This window comes from Homo sapiens, chromosome 10 (genome assembly GCF_000001405.40).
Source record: "Homo sapiens chromosome 10, GRCh38.p14 Primary Assembly".
Classification (NCBI taxonomy): Eukaryota; Metazoa; Chordata; class Mammalia; order Primates; family Hominidae; genus Homo; species Homo sapiens.
This window is the reverse complement of record NC_000010.11, coordinates 42326592-42350840: the sequence shown is the minus strand read 5'-3', so window position 1 is coordinate 42350840 and position 24249 is coordinate 42326592. Positions and strand designations below refer to the sequence as shown.

At 33.6% G+C, this 24249-nt stretch overlaps 1 pseudogene across 1 annotated transcript in view; it reads left to right on the top strand.

Moving 5' to 3' along the window:
- Positions 1 to 18975, top strand: part of LOC441666 (zinc finger protein 91 pseudogene) — a 36180-nt pseudogene extending 17205 nt beyond the window's left edge. The window contains exons 2-3 of the transcript NR_024380.1: positions 10285 to 10340; positions 12601 to 18975. The product of NR_024380.1 is annotated as a zinc finger protein 91 pseudogene (transcript). The remainder of the gene's footprint in view (positions 1 to 10284; positions 10341 to 12600) is intronic.
- Positions 18976 to 24249: the final 5274 nt, after the last annotated feature.

Genomic DNA, 24249 nt, shown 5'->3' with positions numbered 1-24249 from the left:
ATTCTTTTGCCTGGTGGTATCCAGTTTTTTCAGAACCAAATATTAAAAAGACTATACTTTGTTCATTGTGTATTTTTGATGCACTTGTCAAAGATTAGTACAATTTATATGCCCGGGTTTATTTCTGGGCTCTGTTCTGTTCCATTGGTTTCTTGTGTCCATATTTTGCATGTATCCTCTTGTTTTTTTTTACTACAATCTTAAAATATAGTTTGAAATCATAAAGTATGAAGTTTGGTTGCTTTGTCCTTTTTCCTCTAGATTGCTTTGGTTTTTCAAAGCCTATTGTAGTTTCATGTAAATTTTAGAATTGTAATTTCCATTACCATGAAAAATGTCACTGGATTTTTAATAGGGAGTTCATTGAAACCGTAGATCACTTTGAATCATATGGCACTTTATAATATTTATTCTTGCAGTTCATAAACATGAAATCTTTTTGCATTTATTTGTGACTTCTTCAATTTCTTTCATCAATATATGTTTCAGTGTAAAGATCTTTTGCCTTCTTTGTTAAATTTATTTTTCAGAAATTTATTATTTTAATTCTATTGGAAATGAGATTGTTTTCTTCCTTTTTTATCAGATGGTTTGTTGTTAGCATATGGAATCATAACTGATAATTATATGTTAATGTTATATATTGCTAATTTTCTGAGGGCATTTGTTAGTTTTTGATATACTGTTTATGGTTTTCTATATATAAGATCATGTCACCTACAAACAGCAACATTTTAATTTTTTTTTCCTCAATTTGAATGTCATTTTTACGGTCATTTTCTTGACTAATTCTTCTGCAAAGTACTTTCACTGCTATGTTAAAATAGAAACATTGGCAATGGAACCATGTAGCCTTACCCTGGTGTCTATAAATTTGAAGAAGCAAACAGCTCTTTAATTTTTTATAAACTGGTTTCAGGAGGTACAGATCTTCTTTTGTTGGGTCCCCAGGGTAATGGGATGCCCTATGAGCTTGTAATAGGGAAGAGTTTGTAACTGTGTCACAAGGCTGCTGGGTATGCAGTGGACTCCACCTTCAAGTGGCTTTTTACCAGGGGCTTTGGTTGTTGTGATTCCCATCTAATGTCTGGGCAGGCTGGATTTCCTTCAGGACTTTTATTTATAGGGCAGAAACTAGGACAGATTTCTGCAGTTGGGTCTGCATATGGTGGAACTTATATCGGGATGTGGTAAGTGTGGCCACCACTGAGTATTTGGAAGTTTTTTTCCACATCACTGTGTGGGTTCCTGTGTTGGCAGGAATTGCTGTGAACTGTGGCAAAGACAGCTGAAACTGAGTCACTGAACTCCTTCAGGGGCCACAGTAGAGGCCAAGGTCTGCAGGCCACAGTAGAGGCCCAGCTGGAGTGCAGTGGCACAATCTTTGCTCATTGCAACCTCCGCCTCCCTGGTTCAAGCAATTCTCCTGCCTCGGCCTCCCAAGTAGCTGGGACTATAGGTGCCTGCCACCATGCCTGGCTAATTTTTTTGTATTTTTAGTAGAGACTGGGTTTCACCATATTGGCCAGGCTGATCTCTAACTTCTGACCTTAGGTGATCTGCCTGCCTTGACCTCCCAAAGTTCTGGAATTACAGGAGTGAGCCACCATGCCCAGCCTTCTTGGCTGATTTTCAATAGTTGTCTTATTATGTGAAGGTGAGTAGTCATAGAAATAGTGGTATATTCACCAGGTGTTTAATGATATATATATTTCCTTTGTGTGAGAGAAACACTTTTGTGATTTGGAGGTGATTTATATTTATATATTTATATATTTTGTGATTCATAGAAAGACGTATATCACTTTTATTTGTTTTCAAAAAAAATTGTGAAAACACATAACATAAAATTTACCATCTTAAAGCTTTTTAAGTCTATATTTCAGTACTGAGTGTGGTGGAGGCTGATGCCTATAATGCCAGCATTTTGGGAAAGTGAGGCAGAAGTATTGCTTAAGCCCAGGAACTTGAGACCAGCCTGGTCAGCATATAGAGAGCCCATCCCTACAAAAATTTTAAAATTAGCCAGGTTTGTCCACCTGTGGTCCTAGCTCCTTGTGAGGCCGTGGCAGGAGAATCACTTGTGCATGGGAGGTTGAGGCTGCAGTGAGCTATGATTATGTGACTTCATTCCAGCCTGCGGGACAGAGTAGAACCTGCCTTAAAAAAGGTGTACATTTTAGTCATTAAAAGTATTTACATTGTTATATAAAGACCTCTAGAATTTTTACGTCTTCTAAAATTAAAACTTAATACCCATTAAGTAACAACTGCCCATTTTACCCTCTCTTTAGACCTTGAGTAACACCATTCTCCTTTCTGTTTTTATTTGACCACTTACGATGACTCACATCATGGAATCATATAGTATCTGTCAGTTTGTTACTATCTTATTTCAGTTGACATAATATTATCAACGTTTATGTAAGAATGTGACAAGATTTACTATTTTAAGGCTGAATAATATTCCACTGTATGTGTATATGTTACATTTTTAATTTGTTTATCAGTCATGGGATATCTGGGTTACTTCTGCCTTTTGGCTTTTGTAAATATTGGTATAATATCTTTATATATATATAGTACATCTATAAATATATATGTATATATTTATATATAATATATTGGTATAATAAATATATTTTACCAGTATTTATATATTTAATATGTAAATGTTATATATATTAAATATATAAATATTGGTATAATATATTATACCAATATTTCAAATATATATTCAAATATATCTTCCAGGTTCTTTGAATATAGATTTATATTTGGAATATACGTTTATATTTATGTTTGAATATAGATTTATAAGTGGAATTCTTGGATTCCATTTATAAATATATTAATATATAAAAATATATTTTATATTCCAGTCAAATAATATGATTTATGTTTCAATATAGGTTTATAAGTGGAATTCCTGAATTATGTAATTTAATTTTTAAGAAACATTCATAATATGATGATTGCATCCTTTTTTCCCCACCAACAATTCACATGAGTTTTAATTTCTTTACATCCTCAACAGATTTGGCATTTTAAAAATTTATCATGGCCATTCTAATGGGTATGAGGTGGTTTTGTTTTGGATTGAAATTTTGTTTTGTATTTCTCTACAATTGGTACTTTTTTTGCATTATTTTAAGTGCTTTTTTCTACTTATATATATATTTTTGATTAAACATCCATTCAATTCTTTGTCCATTTCTAAATCAATTTATTCAATGTTTGTTGTTTAGTTTTAGTTGTTTATAATTCTGAATATTAACTCATCACATGTAATTTGCGAATATTTTCACCCATTTCTTCGGTGGCATTGTCATTCTGCTAAATATTTTCTTTGGTATGCAGAAAATTTGAAGTTTAGTGTAGTTAAATTATGGGGGTTTTTATGTTTTTCATAAGTATGATGTCATATCTACAAAAAGGTGCCAAAACCAGTGTTCTGTATTTTCCCTATTTTTTTCTTCTAAGAGTTGTATTAGTTATATGTTTTTTAGTTTCATTATTTTATTTAAAATGTGCAAGAAAATAATCCAACTTTATTTTTTTGAGTGTAGATACTCAGTTTTCAACATCATTTGTTGAAGAGATTTTCTTTTCTCTATTGTGTAGTCATGGCAACTTTGTGGAAGATTATTTGATTATATAAAGAAGGGTTCATTTCTGAGCTATTTTGTTCCATCATCTGTTTGTCTCTGTTAGTACCACATTGCTTTTGTTTATTGTAGCTTTTTAATATATTTTGAAATCAGGAAATATAATGCCTCTTTGTTCTTTCTCATGGGTGTTTGGCTAGTTTTAGCTCATAATCAATTTAAAAATTTTTAAACAATATTTCTGGTCAACAATGTACCATTGGAATTTCTTCACCACCGTGAGTTGTTTTCACATTTGATTAAATTATCTGGACCTTGAGCAAGAATATATTACAGAGTGTGTTTTATTTCCATATATTTTTGAATTTGCCAGTTTATCTCTTGATTTTGATGTCTAGTTTCATTTTATTTTAGTCAGAAAACATAACTGTATAATTTTGGTCATCTTAAATTTATTTATTTATTCGTATTGTTGTTGAGAGACAGATTCTCACTGTGCCACTCAGGCTGGAGCGCAGTGGTACAATCTTGGCTCACTGCAGCCTCAACCTCCAAGGCTCAAATAATCCTCCCACCTCAGCATCCCAAGTAGTTGAGACTACATACGTGTACTGTCACGCCTGGCTAGTTTTTTGATTTTTTGTAGAAATGTGGGTTCTCACTATATTGCCCAGGCTGGTTTTGAAATCCTGGTCTCAAGCGGTCTTCCCGCCTTGGCCTCCCAAAGTGCTGGGGGCTACAGGCATGAGCCACCACACCTGGCCAGTCTTCTTAAACTTAATAAGATTTGTTATGTGTCCTAACAGAATGCACCAAGTTCAAACAAGAATATTGTGTAAAGAATATTGTGTAATCTGTTCCTTTTTACTGGAGGGTCCTGTACATATTTTTAATGTGTAGTTGGTCTATGATATGATTTGGATGTTTGTACCCTTCAAATCTCGTGTTGAAATGGGATTCCCAATGTAGCATATGGATCTTTGCGTGATGTGTTTGGGTCATGGGGGCAAATCTCTTGTAAATGACTTCACACCATCCCCTTGGTGATCAATGAGTTCTCACTCTATTAATTCATGTGAGAGCTGCGTGTTTAAAGAACCTGGCACTTTCTTTTCATGCTTGCTCCCTCTCTCCCCATGCAATATGTCTGGTTTCTCTTTGCCTTTACCATGATTGTAAGCTTACTTAGACCCTCACCAGATGCAGATGCTGACACCATACTTATTGTACATTGTGCATAACTATGAAGAAAATAAATCTTTTTTCTTTATAAATTACACAGTCTTAGGTATTTATTGCAATACAAAATGAATTAATACAATTTATAATGTCATCCAGGTTTTGTTCTCTTATTGATGTTTTATCTAAACTTTCACTCATTATTAAAGTGGGGTCTTAATGTCTGTAATTATTATGTTGCTATGTATTTTTTGCTTCACTTCTGTCAATATTAGCTTTATATATTTTGGAACCCTGATCTTTTAAATAGATATAATAGTTATAGATTCCTGGTAAATGACCAATGTTATCATTATATAGTAACAATCTTTATTACCTCATGCTAGTTTTTGATTTACAGTGTATTTTGTCTAATATAATTATGACCACCTCACTTAACTGTGGATACTGTTTGCATGGAATATGTTTTTTCATTCTGTTTCTTTCAACCTGTTTGACTCAAAGTTAAAGTGACTCTCCTGAAATCCTGGTCTCAAGCAATCTTCCAGTCCTGGCCTCCCAAAGTGCTGGGGCTGCAGGCATGAGCCACCACACCTGATTAGTCTTCTTAAACTTAATAAGGCTTATTATGTGTCCTAACAGAGTACACCAAGTTCAAACAAGAATATTGTGTAATTTGTTGCATATTGTATGATTTTGTTTGTTCTTATTCCATTCAGCCATTTAATTTCTTATTATTAGTTTAATCAATTTATATTTAAAATGATTCCTTAGAGAAATGAAGTTACTATTACCATTTTGATTGTTGTTATTTTCTGTGTTTCTTGTAGAGATGTTTTCCATCATTTCCTATTTTACTGTCTTAATTTTTGTTTTTTTGATTTTGTAGTGTTATGCTTTGTTTCCTTTCTCATTTTGTATTGCATACTTTCTATAAACTTGTAATTATCTTGGTAATTGGAGATTATGTAAAACATTTTAAAGTTATAACAATATTAATATGTCATAACTTCAGTTGAATACAAAAACTATACCTCTTTACATCCTGTAGTGGTTTTTTTTTTGTTTGTTTTGTTTTGTTTTTGAGATGGAGTCTTGCTCTGTCACCCAGGCTGGAGTGCAGTGGTGTGATCTTGGCTCACTGCAACCTCCACCTCCCAGGTTCAAGCAATGCTCCTCAGCCTCCCGAGTAGCTGAGATTACAGGCACCCACCACCATGACTGGCTAAGTTTTTATATTTTTAGTAGAGACGGGGTTTCACCATCTTAGCCAAGCTGGTCTTGAACTCCTGACTTTGTGATCCACCCATCTCGGCCTCTCAAAGTGCTGGGATTACAGTCATGAGCCATTGCGCCCGGGCTTACATCCTGTAGTTTTTTATTATTACAAATATTATTTTATATTGTGTATCTATTAACAGATTTATGCAGATTTTTTGTTCAAATTTTATAGCAGAATTTTAAGAGATTTTGCTTCATGATTATGGTGGTAAACAATTGTATATGTGTTTATATATTTACATTTAACAGAAAGCTTTATAGTTTCATGTAGTTTTTTAAGGCTGTTCAGCATCATTATATTTTTCAACATATGGACTCTTTTTGGCATTAAAAAAAATAAACAGCATCTCACTATGTTCCTCAGGCTCATCTTGAACTCTTAGCCTCAACTAATCTGCCTGCCTTGGCCTCCCAAGACTCTGGGATTACAGACATGAGCCACTGGTGCCTGGCTACCATGTAGCATTTCTTGTGGGACCATGCTAGTGGTGATAAATACCTTCACCTTTTGTTTATTTTGTAAGTTCTTTATTGTTTCCTTATTTTTAATTCCAGAGTAATTCCAAATAATTTCAAAGCAAACAGTATTGATTGGTATTAGTTTTTCTTTTATCACATAAAAATTTGGAAAGTTTTCATCCTCTTTTATCTTCATATAACCCCTCTAATACTTTTTCCCTACATTTGTCTTCTAAGATTTCTTTTCCAAATGTAGTAATCTACTTAATGGTGTTCAGTATGTTTAACATTCCATGTTTTCATTTTGTTTTGCAGTTTTATTTTATTTCATTTTACTTTATTTTATTTTATTTTATTTTATTTTTTGAGATGGAGACTTGCTCTGTCACCCAGGCTGGAGTGCAGTGGTGTGATCTCGGCTCACTGCAAGCTCCACCTCCCAGGTTCACGCCATTCTCCTGCCTCAGCCTCCCGAGTAGCTGGGACTACAGGCGCCCACCACTACGCCCAGCCAATTTTTTTGTATTTTTTAGTAGAGACGGGGTTTCACCCTGTTAGGCAGGATGGTCTCGATCTCCTGACCTCGTGATCCACCCGCCTCAGTCTCCCAAAGTGCTGGGATTACAGGCATGAGCTACCATGCCCAGCCAATTTTATTTTTTTTTGTTTCATATTTTAGAGTATGCCACCTCACATCAGTTAATTGTGTTTTTAGTTTTTACTTTGTATGGTAATTGTGAATGTCAATATTCAACTCTGTGCACTTTAAGACAGCGTGGAGCCAAAGTTAAATATGAATCAGTCATATGTCTATTCCCAATATAATAATTTCTGTGTTTGTGTATACGCATATTATTTCTATATTGCTTATGACTTGTATGTTTGTGAGTGATCAATGGTCGTTTTATCTGAGTAGTCATAAAAATTCTCCTACTTCTAATATCTATTTGGGAATCTATTTTTGTGTGGGAGAAATACTTTTTTGATTTGAAGGTAATTTTAAAAACTGTCAATTTTGTCCCATTTTTAGGTATTATTACTGTTTATTTTTAATTATCAAGAACATAAAATTTAGAATCTTAATTTAAAAATATGTAGTTTATATTAATTATATTGACATTATTATACAACATATCTCTAGAATGTTTTTGTCTTGCAAAACTAAAACTGAATACACATTAAACAACTACTCATTTCTCCCATTTTCTGGCCCTTTACAAACAATTCTATTTTCCTGTTTTTGAGTCTAACTGCTTTAAATATCTCATGTAAGTGGATTCATACAGCATTTTTTTGTGGCTGACATATGCTATTTTGCATAATTTAATGAAAGTTTATTATGGTTGTTAGAATATTTCCTTTCTTTTTTTAGATGGAGTTTCGCCCTTGTTGCCCAGGCTGGAGTGCAGTGCAGTGATCTCAGCTCACCGCAATCTCCGCCTCCCAAATTCCAAGCCATTCTCCTTCCTCAGCCTCCTGAGAGGAGGCTGGGGTTACAGACATGCACCACCATGCCTGGCTAATTTTTGTATTTTAGTAGAGGCAGGGTTTTTCTATGTTGTTCAGGCTGGTCTCAAACTCCCAAATTCAGTTGATTAACCCACCTTGGCCTCCCAAACTGCTGGGATTACAGGTGTGAGGCAGTGTGCCCGGCCTGTATTTCCTGTTTTTAAACACTGAGTAATATTCCATTATTTTTATGTTTCAAATTATATTTATCCAGTAATCTGGGGAGAAAAATTTGCATTGCTTTCACCTATTGCCTGTCAATAACAATGCTGTAAAAATTATGGATGTGCAGCCGGGTGCGGTGGCTCACGCCTGTAATACCAGCACTTTGGGAGGCCAAGGTGGGCGGATCATGAAGTCAGGAGATCGAGACCATCCTGGCTAACACAGTGAAACCCCGTCTCCACTAAAAATACAAAAAAATTAGCCGGGCGTGGTGGTGGGCGCCTACAGTCGCAGCTTCTTGGGAGGCTGAGGCAGGAGAATGGCATGAACCTGGGAGGTGGAGGTTGCAGTGAGCCTAGATTGTGCCACTGCACTCCAGCCTGGGCAACAGAGTGAGATTCCATCTAAAAAAAAAAAATTATGGATGTGCAAATAACTCTTCCTATGAGTATATGTGTGAGAGTTTATACTACATTCTGTTTATTTGGTCTAGTTCACTTTTTATAACCAAACCAAATTGTTTTAAGTCTGTATAATGTGTTTTGAAATCAGGGAGTTGTGATGCCTCCAACGTTGTTCCTCTCTTTGAAGATTATTGGGTGTTTCATTGTTTCTTAAAATTTCATGTAATTTTGGGGTTGCTTTTTCTATTTCTGCTAAAATAAAATTAGATATTTGAAAGGGATTGCATTAAATCTGTAGATTACACTGAGCAGTATGGGCATCTTCACAATATTAATTATTTTACCCTTTGATCATGCTGAATATTAATTATTTTACCCTTTGAGCATGCTGAAGAGTGTGTTGTTTAATTTTCATGTATTTATAAATTTTTTAGTTTTGTTTTTGTTGATTTCTACTCTCATTCCATTTTGGTCATAAAAAGTAATCTATCAATTTCAATTTTTAAAGATTTAGTAAGTTTTTTTTTTATAATGGACTAACAGGCAGTTTTTCAAAGAGAATGTATGTGAGCTATTGAGAATGGTTGTACCCTGCTATTATTAAGGGGTGTTCTTTGTTAGGCATAATATTGTTTTATACTGCTTTCTTGGTATTTTTTTTCTTTTTGAGATAGAGTCTTGGTCTGTCACCGAGGCTGGACTGCAGTGCCGCAATCTCGACTCATTGCAAACCCCGCCTCCCTGGTTCAAGCAATTCTCCTGCCTTAGCCTCCTGAGTAGCTGGAATTACAGGCGCCTGCTACTGTACATGGCTATTTTTAGTAGAGATGGGGTTTTAGTAGGGATGGGGTTTCGCCATGTTGGCCAGGCTGGTCTTAAACTCCTTACCTCAGGTGATCTGTCCTCCCTGGCCTCCCAAAGTGTTAGAATTACAAGCATGAGCCACTTGTCCCCATCTGTACTGCTTTCAGTTTCTCTTTTCCTTTTTTTTTTTTTTTTTTTTTTTTGGGGACAGAGTCTCGCTCTCGCCCAGGCTGGAGTGCAGTGGTGCGATCTCGTCTCACTGCAAGCTCCGCCTCCTGGGTTCATGCCATTCTCCTGCCTCAGCCTCCTGAGTACCTGAGATTACAGGCACCTACCACCACGCCCTGCTAATTTTTTGTATTTTTAGTAGAGACTGGGTTTCATTGTGTTAGCCAGGATGGTCTTGATCTCCTGACCCCATGATGGCCTGCCTCGGCCTCCCAAAGTGCTGGGATTACAGGCATGAGCCACCGTACCTGGCCCTCTTTTCTATTATTAATATTGTTTTGTTTTATTGTTCATTGCAGAAATTGAAGTATTAAAATATCTTATTATAATTATATTTCTCTCTATTTGTTGCTTTAATTCTGTCAATTTTTGATTTGTATTTTTGGAAACCTAATGTGAGAAATACACATACACACACAAACATATAAATATATGTATGCACATATTTGTCATACGTTTTCAATAAATGATGTCTTTATTATTGTTTAATGACCTTTTTTCTCTTGTGAATTTTGACATAAAGTATATTTTATAAAATAAGAGAGTTGTTTACTTACGATGTATTTTGTATAATACAATTTTGATGTCTTCTCCTCACATTTGGTTAATGTTTGCCTGAAATGTCTTCTTCCACTTGCCACTTTCAGGCCGATTTCACTACTAGATCTCAAGTGACTCTTGAAGAAAGGCAAGTTGGATCTTGGTACATAAAATTTTATATAATCCCTCTATTCAATATATGTGTATTGATTGGAAAGTCTGTTTTTAAAATATTTATTTTCTGAAGACAAAGATTATTGTTATTTTATTGTTTAATGATTCTTGCATGTCTGTTTCTCATTCTATCTTCCTTTGTGTCTTTTTGATTTTTGTATGGATAGGCTGTCACTTCTTTCTTACTTCCTTTTTTGTATCTATACAGACATTTTCTTTGTGGGTGCCTTCAGGATTATATAAAAATCTCTTAAAATTTCAACAATATATTTTGAAGTGGTGAAATTTAAATTCGGGTTCATGCACAAATTATTTCTTATTACATCTGTCCTCAACTTAGTTATTGATGTCACTAAACATATCTATTTATGTTATATATTTATACCAGATGTTCATTATTATTTTTAGCTTTTATCTTTAAATTTTAGAGAATAATTAAATAAAACATTTTTTGGTATTATGATAATGCTACAGGATTTTTTTGTATAATATTTGCATATCTTTATATTTTTCCCAGAAAGCTATCTATTTTTATATGATAGTTTTGTTTTTTAGCATCATATAATTTTAGTAGTAGGACTCTTCTCAGCATTTTTTGTAGGGCGTATGTAGTGTTGATATAATTTTTCCACATTTGGTTATCTTCAGAGGTCTTTACTTTTTCTTCATTTTGTAGCACAGTTTTTCTGGTTATATTATTCTTACACAGAAGCTATTTTTCACTTGGCTTTGACTATAGCACATAATTTCCTTCTAGCCTGCAAGGTTTTTGTTGAAAGAGTCACTGGTTATATCATAGAACCATAATTATGTATTTTCCAGCATTCGAGATTCTCTTTTTGTCTGTGATTTTGGGAACTTTGCTTTGCATGTCTTGTTATGGATCTGTGTGTTTCCTAGTTTTAGTATGTTGAGCTTCTTCATTTTTACAACCTTATTTTCTTACTTTTGAGAATTTCTCAGGTATTCTTAACTTTTTGAGACAGTGTCTTGCTCTGTCACCCAGGTTTGAGTACAGTGGCATGATTGCAGCTTACTGCAGCCTTGGATTCCCTAGGCTTACGTGATCCTCCTACCTCAGCCTCCTGTTTACTGGTACCACAGGTGTGTGCCAATACACCTGACTAATTTTAATTTTTATAGAGGAGAAGTATTGCCATGTTTCCCTGTTTAAACTTGAACTCCCTAGGTTCAAGTGATCTGCCTGCCTCAAACTCCCAAAGTGCTGGGACTACAGACATGAGCCACCACACCTGGCCTCAGTCATTATTTCTATCTGTATTTTCTACTTCCATAATTTCTATTATATTTTTCATCTTTTCCTTGATAGTCTGTTTTTTTCTGATTTTATTTAGTTACCTGTGTTCCCATTTAGGTTAAATTTTTAAAACTAATGTGTACATCTTTATTTTCATGGTTGTTTTCTGACAGTTTTAAGTTTTTTTTTTTACTTAGGCCATGTCACTGTAATATTTTGTATGTATTGTACTCTTTGGTTGAGATTTGGACATTAACAAACAGCTATGTGTCACAATCTTTATAATGCGGTGTTGTCCTAACATAGTCTGAAACCAAGTGTCTCAACTAGAGATTCTGGGAGCCTATCAAATATGTTATGATTTGTCATGTGTGGAATTTTGTGTTGATTACTCAGTTAAAGGGGTTTGCCTGTGTTTCTTAAACAGTCTGTAATTACTTCCTATACATATTTCATGTCTGTGGTACTGTAGTTGGTTGCTGTAACATTTACCTTTGGTCTCAGCAGACTCAAGCTGTTATTTCAAAGTATACCATAATTTCTTTCAGCACATTTTGTCATTGGAGACAGAAACAAGTCTCTGTAAAAGTGTCCAGAAGCCAGAAGTAAAAATACATGAGCCAGTTTTTTTTTTTTTCTATATTGAGGAAGATGCCAGACATTGCAGTTTACTTCTAAAAGTGCCATGCTGCATTATGGAGGAGGAAAGGTGTTGGGCAAATGTAACAAACTTTTCTATCCATTCAGTATGGCTTGTGGCATTTTGCTCACCTGGTACACTGAACACACTTAACTCATTTCTAGATTTTCCATAAGGACATTTTGGTCAGTAGAGTTTTGTTATAACTCTATAAAAGAATTAGGACCTGTGGTATTTTTGTTATGCCATGTTGCTAATGTACTTTGTATAATTTTATGTATTAGATTTGTAAACAATAGATTTGTATATTCACATGGGCCTACTGAGATAATTTATTTTTATTTCTTTCAGCTGTGTTCTCATTTCACCCAAGACCTTTGGCTAGATCAGAACATAAAAAATTCATTTCAAAAAGTGATACTGAGAAGATATGAGAAATCTAGACATGAGAATTTACAAATAAGAAAAGGCTGTAAAAGTTTGAATGCATCTAAGTTGCAGGAAGGAGGTTATAATGGACTTAACCAATGTTTGTCGGTTACTCAGAGCAAAATACTTCAATGTAATACATGTGTGAAAGTCTTTAGGAAATTTTCAAATTCAAATAGACTTAGGAGAAGACATACTGGAGAGAAACCTTTCAAATGTAAAGAATGTGGCCAATTCTTTCACAGGTTCTCACACCTAAGACAACATGAGATAATTCATACTGAAGAGAAACCCTACCAACATGAAGAATGTGGCAAAGATTTTAAGCAGTCTTCAGGTCTTACTATACATGAGAGAATTCATACTAAAGAGAGACCCTACAAGTGTGAAGAATGTGACAAAGCCTTTAAACAATCTTCAAAACTGAATAAACATAAGAAAATTTATACTGGAGATACAACCTACAAATGTGAAGAATGTGGCAAAGCCTTTTCCTATTCCTCAACCGTTACTCAACATAACATAGTTCATACTGAAGACAAACCCTACAAATGTGAAGACTGTGGCAAAGCTTTGAAGTAGTCTTCAAACCTGACTATGCGTAAGATTATTCATATGGGAGAGAAACCCTACAAATGTGATGAATGTGGCAAAGCCTTTAGAATATCCTCAAAACTGAAAGAACATAAAAGAATTCATACTTGAGAGAAACCCTATAAATATGAAGAATGTGGCAAAGCTTTTTACTGTTCCTCAGGCCTTACTCAACATAACATAGTTCATACTGGAGACAAACCCTACAAATATAAAGATTGTGGCAAAATTTTTAAGTGGTTTTCAGACCTTACTATACATCAGAGAATTCATAGTGGAGAGAAACCCTAGAAATGTGAAGAATGTGGCAAAGCCTTTAAACAATCCTCAAAACTGAATGAACATATGAGAACTCATACTGGAGAGAAATCCTACAAATGCGAAGAATGTAGCAAAGCTTTTAAGCAACCTTCAGGCCTTACTCTACATAAGAGAATTCATACTGGAGAGAACCCTTACAAATTCGAAGAATGTGGTAAAGCCTTTTATTGGTTGTTAAGCTTTACTAAACATAATTGATAGGGGAGAGAAACCCTACAAATGTCAAGAATGTGGCAAAGCTTTTAAGTGGTCTTCAAACCTTACTATACACAAGAGAATTCATACGGGAGAGAAACCCTGCAAATGTGAAGAATGTGGCAAAGCTTGTAAGCAGTCTTTGGGCCTTACTATACAAAAGAGAATTCATAATGAAGAGAAACCCTACAAATGTGAAGAATGTGATAAAGCCTTTTACTGGTCCTTAAGCTTTACTAAACGTAAGATAGTTCATACTGGAGAGAAGCACTACAAATGTCAAGAATACGTCAAAGCTTTTAAGCGTCTTCAAACCTTACTATACATAAGAGAATTCATACTGGAGAGAAACCCTACAATTGTGAAAAATGTGGCAAAGCCTTTTACTGTTCCTCACACCTTATTCAACATAACATAGTTCATACTGAAGAGAAACACTACAAATGTCAAGAATGTGGCAAAGCTTTTAAGAAGTCTTTAGACCTTAATGTACATAAGATAATTCATAGTGGAGAGAAACCCTACAGATATGAAGAATGTGGCAGTCTTTAAACAATCCTCAAACCTGAATGAACGTAAGATAACTCATAGTGGAGAGGAATCCTACAAATGTGAAGAATGTGGCAAAGGCTTTAAACAATCCTCAAACCTGAATGAACATAAGATAACTCATAGTGGAGAGGAATCTTACAAATGTGAAGAATGTGGCAAAGGCTTTTACTGTTCCTCAAGCCTTACTAAGCATAAGATAGTTCATACTGAAGAGAAACCATACAAATGTGAAGAATGTGGCAAAGCTTTTAAGTGGTCCTCTGAACTTACTATACATCAGAGAATTCATACTGAAGAGAAACCCTGTAAATGTGAAGAATGTATCAGAGTCTTTAAACACTCCTCAAAACCGAATGAACATAAGAGAAATCATACTGGAGAGAAACCCTACAAATGTGAAGCATGCGGCAAAGCTTTTTAAGCAGTCTTCAGGCCTTACTATACATAAGAGAATTCATACTGGAGAGGAATCCAGAAATGTGAAGAATGTTGCAAAACCTTTTACTGGTCTTTAAGCTTTACTAAACATAAGAGAGTTCATATTGGAGAGATACCCTACAAATGTCAAGAATGTGGCAAAACTTTTTCTTGTTCCTCAAGTTTACTCAACATAAGAGAGTTCATACTGAAGAGAAATCCCACAAATGTAAAGAATGTGGGAAAGCCTTTAACCAGTCCTTAAGCCTTACTAAACTTATGAGAATTCATACTGGAAAAAAATCATACAAATTGGAAGACTGTGGCAAAATCTTTTAAGTATTGCTCAAATATATCCAGCCATAATTCATACTAAAGATTATGCCTATGAACCTAAGGAAGTTTGGCAAAGCTTATGAATACACCTCAAACTTTCCTAAGCCTTGGAGAAATATCAGTGAGAAACCTCAGAAAACTGAACAATGTGGCAAGCCCTTTAAATGGTTGTCACATCTTACTGTAGGTAAAATAATTGATAGTGGAGAAAATCTCTACAAACAAAGAATGTGTCAAAACTTCTAACATGCTCATACTTTATGGCACATAAAAGCGTTTATACTTGAAAAATTATACAGAGTGTGGAAAAGCCATTTCTATCTGCTCACATCATAGTCAACATCAGGAAGTTCATACTTAATAAAATTATTATAAATGTAATTACTGTTCAAAGACCTTGGAAAATATAAACCCTTAAAATAAAAAAGAGTATTCTGGAGACAAACATTACAAATATAAAGAGGGTTGTAATACCTTTACTTGCCCTATATAATGTACAGATTTTACACTAGAAGAAAACTCTAAAGGAATTACTCAAACTTGTTTGGCATCAGAGAATTTATGTTGAAGGAAACCGTACAAATGTAATAAGTGTGGAAAAACATTTGTTCAGAAACTACAGCTTACAAAACACCACACAGTTTATAATAAAAAATATTTTTGCAGATGGAATACATATGTAAAAATATTTAGTCAAAATTAAGTCTTTGTAAACTTTAGAAAATTCACGGTAGGGAGAACTAAGGCACTGGCACTTAAGACGTTACACTAAATCAGAATGTTCTGTAAAGAAAGTAATCCAAAGCTAAAACTGTTGGATAATTTATTTGTATATAAGTTTAAGAGGAGTGGAAGGTTATTTTTTGGAGAGTTAAAATTACATTCAAGGTATACGTTTTTCCTTGAAAAAAGTGTAAGTTTTTTGAAAAGCAAGTAGGTAATTCAACTGTAAAATTGCTTCATGCTGTTCCTTTTTTCCTGTTGTTTGTGTAAAAGCATGTCATCAATTTCTGTTGCATCAGAAATCTGAGAGATTCCTTTCTTATTAGGTAGGCATCATTCATTAATTTTTCCATGGAAGAGTAAGGATATTAAAATGTAAGATGATAATGAAAATCTGATTGGAGAGGCTCTTTATGGCTGACTTTTAACATTGTTCATGTGATGCATGAGTTATGTGTTTAGAGTAATATTCTGCATTATAGTGAGAGGAAAACTTTGAGTTTTAGTAGTAAATTGTTTTACCAATTGTACTTTTATGTAATAAAATGTAGGGAATTTTAAAATTCTTTTATAAGACTGTGATAACTTAACTTTTAAATTAAACGAAATGGTTTTAAACTTTTTAAGACGTGCATTTAGTAAAGTGTTATGTCACCAACTTTAACGTATCCCACTGTATTAAAGATGTAGATAAAAGATGGTAACATAGTAGAATGACCTCTCTAGCAATCTCTTTTGCCTGTGGCATTAAACTGAAAAGTTTAACAGTATTGTTTCAATGGGTAAAATGTACATTTGTTTAACTTTTTAAATTTTTGTAGGAACATAATATTGTTTACCTATTTATGGCATATATAGAATATTTTCATACAGGCATACAATTTGTAATCACATCAGAGTAAATGAGGTATTCATTACCTAATGCATTTTTTTTGTATTACAGACAATCCATTTAAACATTTTTAGTTATCTAAAAATGTACAAGTAAATTATTACTTGCTACAGAGGTTTTTTATCGTCTTGATAATAATTACATAGTAGTATAATAAATCTCACATTTCTAAGTCCTGAATGAATATTTTTAAAAATTTGTCATATATATTTTGAACAAGTGGACTCTCTGCCTGTAAACTCATGCAGACTGTTAGTTTTTACTTACATGATGCTAAATATACAAATATATTACTCTTAAGATAAACATTAGGTGTAAGAAAATTGTGGGGCAAGTAATTGTGTGTGAGAGTACCTATTTTCAGAAGACAAGCAATATTGGAACAAAATATCACTTTAATAAAGTGGACAAATCATTTACTAGAAAACCAGAAACCTCAGTGATTTTGAATAATATCTGTATTCTCTGCATTTTATTTAATTAATTACTGTGAAGTCTTATGGACTGTGTTTCCGAATCTTTCCATGCAAATTCTTTCTTTCATTTGCCTGGTACTCATGGTAGACTGATTTTTTTTTTCATATTTTTTGTGTTTATAATTTATTAAGTATTCATTATGTGAGTTGCTCAGATATTCTAAGAATTTTTATAAAATTTAGTAATGCATGCAAAATAATTTTTCAATGTTATTTCACAATGAGTGTATTAACTTATATTTCTTTTGTTGCTTTCTTTTTTCTTTTTTTTTTTTTTGAGATGGTGTCTTGCTCTGTCACCCAGGCTAGAGTGCAATGGTGGGATCTCAGCTCACTACACCCTCCACCTGCTGGGTTCAAGCAATTCTCTAGCCTCAGCCTCCTAAGTAGCTGGGACTACAGGCATGTGCCACCATGCCCAGCTAATGTTTTTGTATTTTTAGTAGAGACTGTGTTTCACTATACTGGCCAGAGTGGCCTTGAACTCCTGACCTCGTGGTCCACACACCTCATCCTCCCAAGGTGCTGGGATTACAGGCGTGAGCCACTGCATCTGACCAACTTATATTTCATTTAGTTAGAACATCCCATTTTGTTATTTTAATTGGAGAAACCTGTGTAAGCTAAGTTTCCTTATTGTTCCTTTTACTCTTTATAATTGACATAGGTGAATTTATTCATTCAGCCAATTTGTTTAAGTAAATACTGGGGAGGCTTCATAAGTCACAAAGATATTTTGATATGTAAATGTAGCAAACACAATGCTTGCTGTAATAGAGGCACCATTATTGGCCATAAATATTTCTGCTGGAGTTAGTTTGTAGCTCCAAGTAAAGATAAAGAAATATGCGTGGTGAAGAAATAAAATCGATTCTGTATGTGGAGAGGACGTTGTTCTTATGCTGCAAAACTGACTCTTTCTGAATTTAAAGAGACATTCTTCTTATTTTCTGATTATCTTTAGTTTTGTTTTTGTGTCTACTTATGTTTATCCCAACTGTGTATGCATCACAGCCCTTCTTTTTCTTCTTTGTGTTATGGCTACATTTTTATTGCTGTTTGTTTTGTGCCATGTCATTTCACACAGTACTTTGTAGGTTCTGATGAGAAGTTTGTCAATGTAACTTTCAGATCCGTTAATTGAGATAAAAGGCATCCGGTGTTCACAGGTGAGAGGAATAAATCAGTCAGAATTTCTTGTCTTTGTAAAACCAAACTTTTATTAAATTTTAACACAGTCTGTGTGTGGTGGCTCACGCCTGTAATCCCAGCACTTTGGGAGGCTGAGGTGGGAGAATCACTAAGTCAAGAGATTGAGACCTTCCTGGCCAATATGGTGAAACCCCATCTCTACTAAAAATACAAAAATTAGCTGGGCATGGTGGCATGCACCTGTTGACCTAGCCATTCAGGAGGCTGAGGCAGGAGAATCGCTTGAACCCAGGAGGCAGAGGTTGCAGTGAGCTGAGATCGCACCACTGCATTCCAGCCTGATGACAGAGCGAGACTTCATCTCAAAAAAAAACAAAATTAACACAATGTGTGGAAAATATAAAATTAGTTAGAAGATATGTCTTAGAAATTAAACTTTTAGAAGAGTTAATGGTAAGTGGAGAATGTTAAATTTTTTATTACATACTTACAGCTCAACTTAAGTTTTCATTCAGAATCTTTTATTTTGGTGTGAATGTTAAATATTCAAAAATAATAGAATGACACCTGTGGATTTCACATGTGAAGTAATCTTTTTCATATTAACATTAAAATCTTGAGGAATTTCTCACACTTGTATAATGTACTTTTTTATTGGGTGCAGTTTACAATTTAGAGGTTTCATTCTTTGTCACCTAACTAGTCAACTCCTTGGTCATTTTATCTGGAAAAATTTTAAGGATCATGTCATCTTTTGAGTTAAAAAATTTCTTCAGTGATCTGGGATGCAAACTTATTTACTCTCTTCAGAGTGGTTTAATCATGTGAACCACAGCAACACCTGCCCTTTTTGTGTCTTCCCTATCATTACCACCAGCACCAGAAACTCCAGGTGTCCCAAGCTCAAAGTAAAAGGCCTAAGGTACGTTGGCTTCTCCCATATTCTGTGCTGGGTCCCAAAAACATGGTGGTAAATATTAGAGTTCATATGGTCATGACTGACTAGGTGAAAAAACAGCACAAAAACTATGTATCTTTCATACTATTCAGACAGGTTTATGACAAAAACACAGAGTCAGAATTTGAACCTTTGTCATTTTTAATAGTTTTTATAAATATATTTTTAAATTCACTGATAAAATATGTATTTATTTTGTAAAATAGTATTTTGAAGTAAATATACATTGTCAATGCCTAATTTTAGGTAATTGTCAAGTGCTTTGCCTCACATAGTTACTTTTTGGTGCGAAGACAACATTTACTGTCTTAGCATTTTTTCAGAAACACAATACATGCATTATAATCTCTTGAACTTATTTTTCTTATCCAACTGTAATTATGTAATCAATATATGTTTTGTAGAATCCACATGTGAGTGAAATCATGAGATATTAACCTTTCTGTGCCTTATTTCAACAACTATAGTGTCCTTTAGGCTTATCTTTGTGATTAAAAATAAGATTTTTTGTTTAAAATATAGTATTCCATTGTATATATACACCATAGTGTGTGTATTTCCTCATTGGACGATGGACACATACGTTGATTCTATATTTTGGCTTCTGTAAAGTGTGCTGCAACAAACAGAATTGCAGATGTCTGTTCATCAATCTAGTTTCATTTGTTTTGTGATAGATATCCAGTAGTTCAATTACATGTTAGATTTTAATTGTTTTGCAAAATTTCTATTTTTCATAATGGCTGTTTTTATTTACATTGACACAAACAGTGTGAAAGCTTTCCTCTTTCTCTTTTTTCAAGTTTACCAACAATTTTTTTTAAACATTCTAACAGGAGTGAGTTTATATCTTAGAGTTGTTTTGGTTTGCCTTTCCTTGATGATAATTGACTGAGCCATATTCATCTATCTGCCAAGCTATAAGTATGTCTTTCTTTGAAAATTATTTATATAGATCTTTTGCTTATTTTTAATGGTTATTTGTTTTTTGTTTTATAGTCCTTTGAGTTTCTTATGTATTTTTGATATTAACTGCTTTTCACATGTATAATTTGCAAATATTTTCTTCCATTTTTCAGTTATGTCATTCTGCTGATTGTATCTGTTGGTGTGCAGCAGCTTCTTAATTTTAAGAAATCTGGTTTGTCTATTTCCCCCTAAAATTTTGAGGTTAAACCCAAGAGTCACTGCCCAGACCAATGTTATGGGGCATTCATTCTATATTTCCTCATCTTAGTTTTAGATTTTCAGGTCTCACATTTAAGTATCTAATTTGAGTTAATTTTTATATATGGTGTGAGATGAAGGTCTGATTTTATTATTTTGCATGTGGATATATATTTTCTCAACATCGTTTATAAAAGACTTTTTTTTTAAATTGTCATCTTTATTTACAATCAGTTGTCTGTAAATACATGAATTTATTTCTGGTCTTTCTCTTTTGCTCTATTGGCCTATGTGTCCATTTTTATGCAAGTAACACTCTGTTTTGATTACTGTAGCTTTGTTGGACATTTAAAAGTCAGAGTGATTCCTTCAGCCTTTTATTTTTCATTTTTTGCTTGATTTTCTTAGCTATTCAAGGTCTTTTGTGGGGCAATATACATTTTAGATTTTTTAAAAACACTTCTATGGAGAATTTAACTGGATTTTAATAGAAGTTTTATTATATCTGTATATCAGTTTGTGTAATGCAGTTATTTAACAATATTAATCGTGCCCATTTATGAATTAGAAATATCTTTTTGTTTGAATATTATTTATTTTCTAAATTCTTTTTTTTTTAGATTATAATGTACCGATCGTTCACCTTTTTGGTTACATTCATTTCTAAGTATAGTTACTGCTGCAATTATTGTAGATAGGATTGTTTTTTGGTTTTATTTTCAGATACTTTATTGTTAGTATATAGAAATATTACGGAATTTTTTTATGTTGATTTTGGATCCTGCAAGTTTAATAAATTTGTATATTCTAATAATTTTTTGTGAGGTCCTAGGTTTTTCTATACTTAAGATTATATCATCTGCAAGGAAACTATAATTTATCTTCTTCATTTTATTTAAGATTGCTTTGATTTTATTGAATATTTTTTCTGTCTTGGTCATTTTGTATTATGTTCAGTAAGATCGAAGAAATTGGGCCAGGCGTGGCGGCTCACACCTGTAATCCCAGCACTGTGGGAGGCGGAGGTGGGGGGATCACGAGGTCAGGAGATCAAGACCATTCTGGCTAACAAGGTGAAACCCCGTCTCTACTAAAAATACAAAAATTAGGCAGGCGTGGTGGCACGCACCTGTAGTCCCAGCTACTCAGGAGGCTGAGGCAGAAGAATGGTGTGAAACTGGGAGGCAGAGCTTGCAGTGAGCCAAGATTGCACCACTGCACTCCAGCCTAGGCAACAGAGCAAGACTCCATCTCAAAAAAAAAAAAAAAAAAAAAGATTGGAGAAATTGGACATCCTTGTCTTGTTCTAGCTCTTAGAGAAAAGGCTTACAGTTTTTCCTTATTTAGTATGTTGTTAGGTGTGCATTGTTGTTAATGACATTACCTTGAATTGCATTTATTTTATAACTAGTTCAAGAGATTTATTATGAGGAGATATTGAATTTTGTTACACTTTCATTATGCATCTATTTGAATGTTACAGTTGTGACAGCCAATCCCACAAAAATACAAAAGATGCTTGCAGACTACTATAAATATCTGTGTGCACACCAACTAGAAAATCTAGAGGAAATGAATAAACTCTTAGAAACATACAACCTCCCAAGATTGAATCAGGAATAAACAGAAGTCTTCAAGAAACCAAAAATGTGTAAGTAAATTGAATTGGTGATAAAAAAAATCTACCAATTATAAAAAGTACTAAACCAGATGCATTCATAGCATGATTTTATCACATATACAAAAATGAGTTGGCTGTAATTCTACAGAAATTATTCCAAAAAATCAAAGTGGGACTCCATCCTAATTAATTCTATCATATAATATCACTGTCATCTTGATATATTAACCTAGTAAAGACACAACAAAAAAAATTACAGGCCAATGTCCCTGATGAATACAGACCCAAAAATTATTCATGAAATGCTTGCAAACTGAGTCAGGAAATCAAAGTTATTTCACTGCAACTATGTGGACATTATTCTGTGAATGCAGGAATGTTTTAACGTGCAATCTATAAATGCGATTCAACATATAAAAATAATTAAAAAACAAAACCACATTATCTCAATAGATGTGGAAATAGCAATTAATAAAATGTAATATCTATTTATGAAAAAAATTCTCAAAAAACTAGGCATTGAAGGAACATACCTCAAAATAATAACAGCCATATAAGACAAATCCTCAGCCAACATCATACTGAACAGGTGAAAGATTAATGCATCTTTCCTAAAAATTGAAATAAGAAAAGAATGTGCACTTTCACCACTCCTATTCAACATAGTTCTGAAGGTTTTAGCCAGAACAATCAGGCAAGATAAAGAAAGAAAAACACTCAAATAAGAAAAGAGGAAGTCAACTTATCTGTCTTTACTGATGATATAACTGTCTACCTACTTCAAAGACTCCTCCAAAAGACTCTTAAGCCTAATAAAAGACTTCTGCAAAATCTCAGGGCAACAACAACAAAAAGCAAAACAACATTCAAAAATGAGGAACATTTCTATACACCAGTAACACTTAAACAGAGCAAAATTAAGAACACAATCTAGTTTACAATAGCCAGAAACAAAAAATAAAATAGTGATCCATTAAACAAAGGAGGTTAAATATCTCTACTAGAAGAACTACAAACCACTACTGAAAGAAATCAGACACAGTGCAAGTAAGTGGAATAGTATTTCATGCTAATGGATTAGAATTATTAAAAAGTTCATACTGCCCAAAACAATCAACAGTTTATTTCTATTTCTATCACTCTACCAATGCCATTTTTAAATAAAATTAGTCAAAAAACTATTCTAAAATTTATATGAAAACAAAAAAGCTCAAATAGCCAAGGCTATACTAAACAAAAAGAATAAACCTGGTGACATTATGTTACCAAACTTCAAACTTTACCACAAGCTACGGTAACCAATATAATATGGATGCAGATACACACACACACACACACACACACACACACACACACACACACACACACCCTTACGGAACAGAAGAGAGCACTGAAATGAAGCTGAACTCTTAAAATTAATTGATTTTTGACAGCATCAACAAAAACAAATGGAAAGAACTCCCTACCCAAAAAAAGGTGCTGGAAAAACTGGTTAGTCATATGCAGAAGAGGAAATCGCAACACCTACTTCTCATGATACAGAAAATTAAATCAAGATACATTAAAGACTTATCTGTAAGTGTTCAACCTATAAAAGTCCTAGAAGAACACCTAGAAAATTCTCTCCTTGGCGTTGGTCTCTGTAAAGAATTAATGACTACATCCTCAAAAGTGAAAGCAACAAAAATAAAAATTAAAAATTGTGACCTGTACAGCAAGAGAAACTATTAACAAAATAAACAGACAACGTACAGTATGGGCTAAAATACGTGTAAACTGCATACAATAAATAACTAATATATACATTTTATAAGGAATTTAAGAAAAAATGTTGACAAAAATGTGAACATATACTTTTAAAAGAAAGACAAAAAAAGCAGCCAACAAACATATGAAAAATTGATCAACATTTCTAATGATTAGAGAGATGTAAATCCAAACCACAATGTGATACCATCTCACCCCAGTCTAAATGGCTATTATTAAAAAGTAAAAAAAAAAAAGTTAAAATTATGTAGAAAAGAGAACCCTGATATACTCTTAGTGGGAATGCAAGTTAGTTCACCTCCTGTAGAATGCATTTTGGGGATTTCTCAAAGGACTAAAACTAAAGTTACCATTTGACCCAGCAGCTTCAGTACTGGGCATATACCTCAATACAATACAA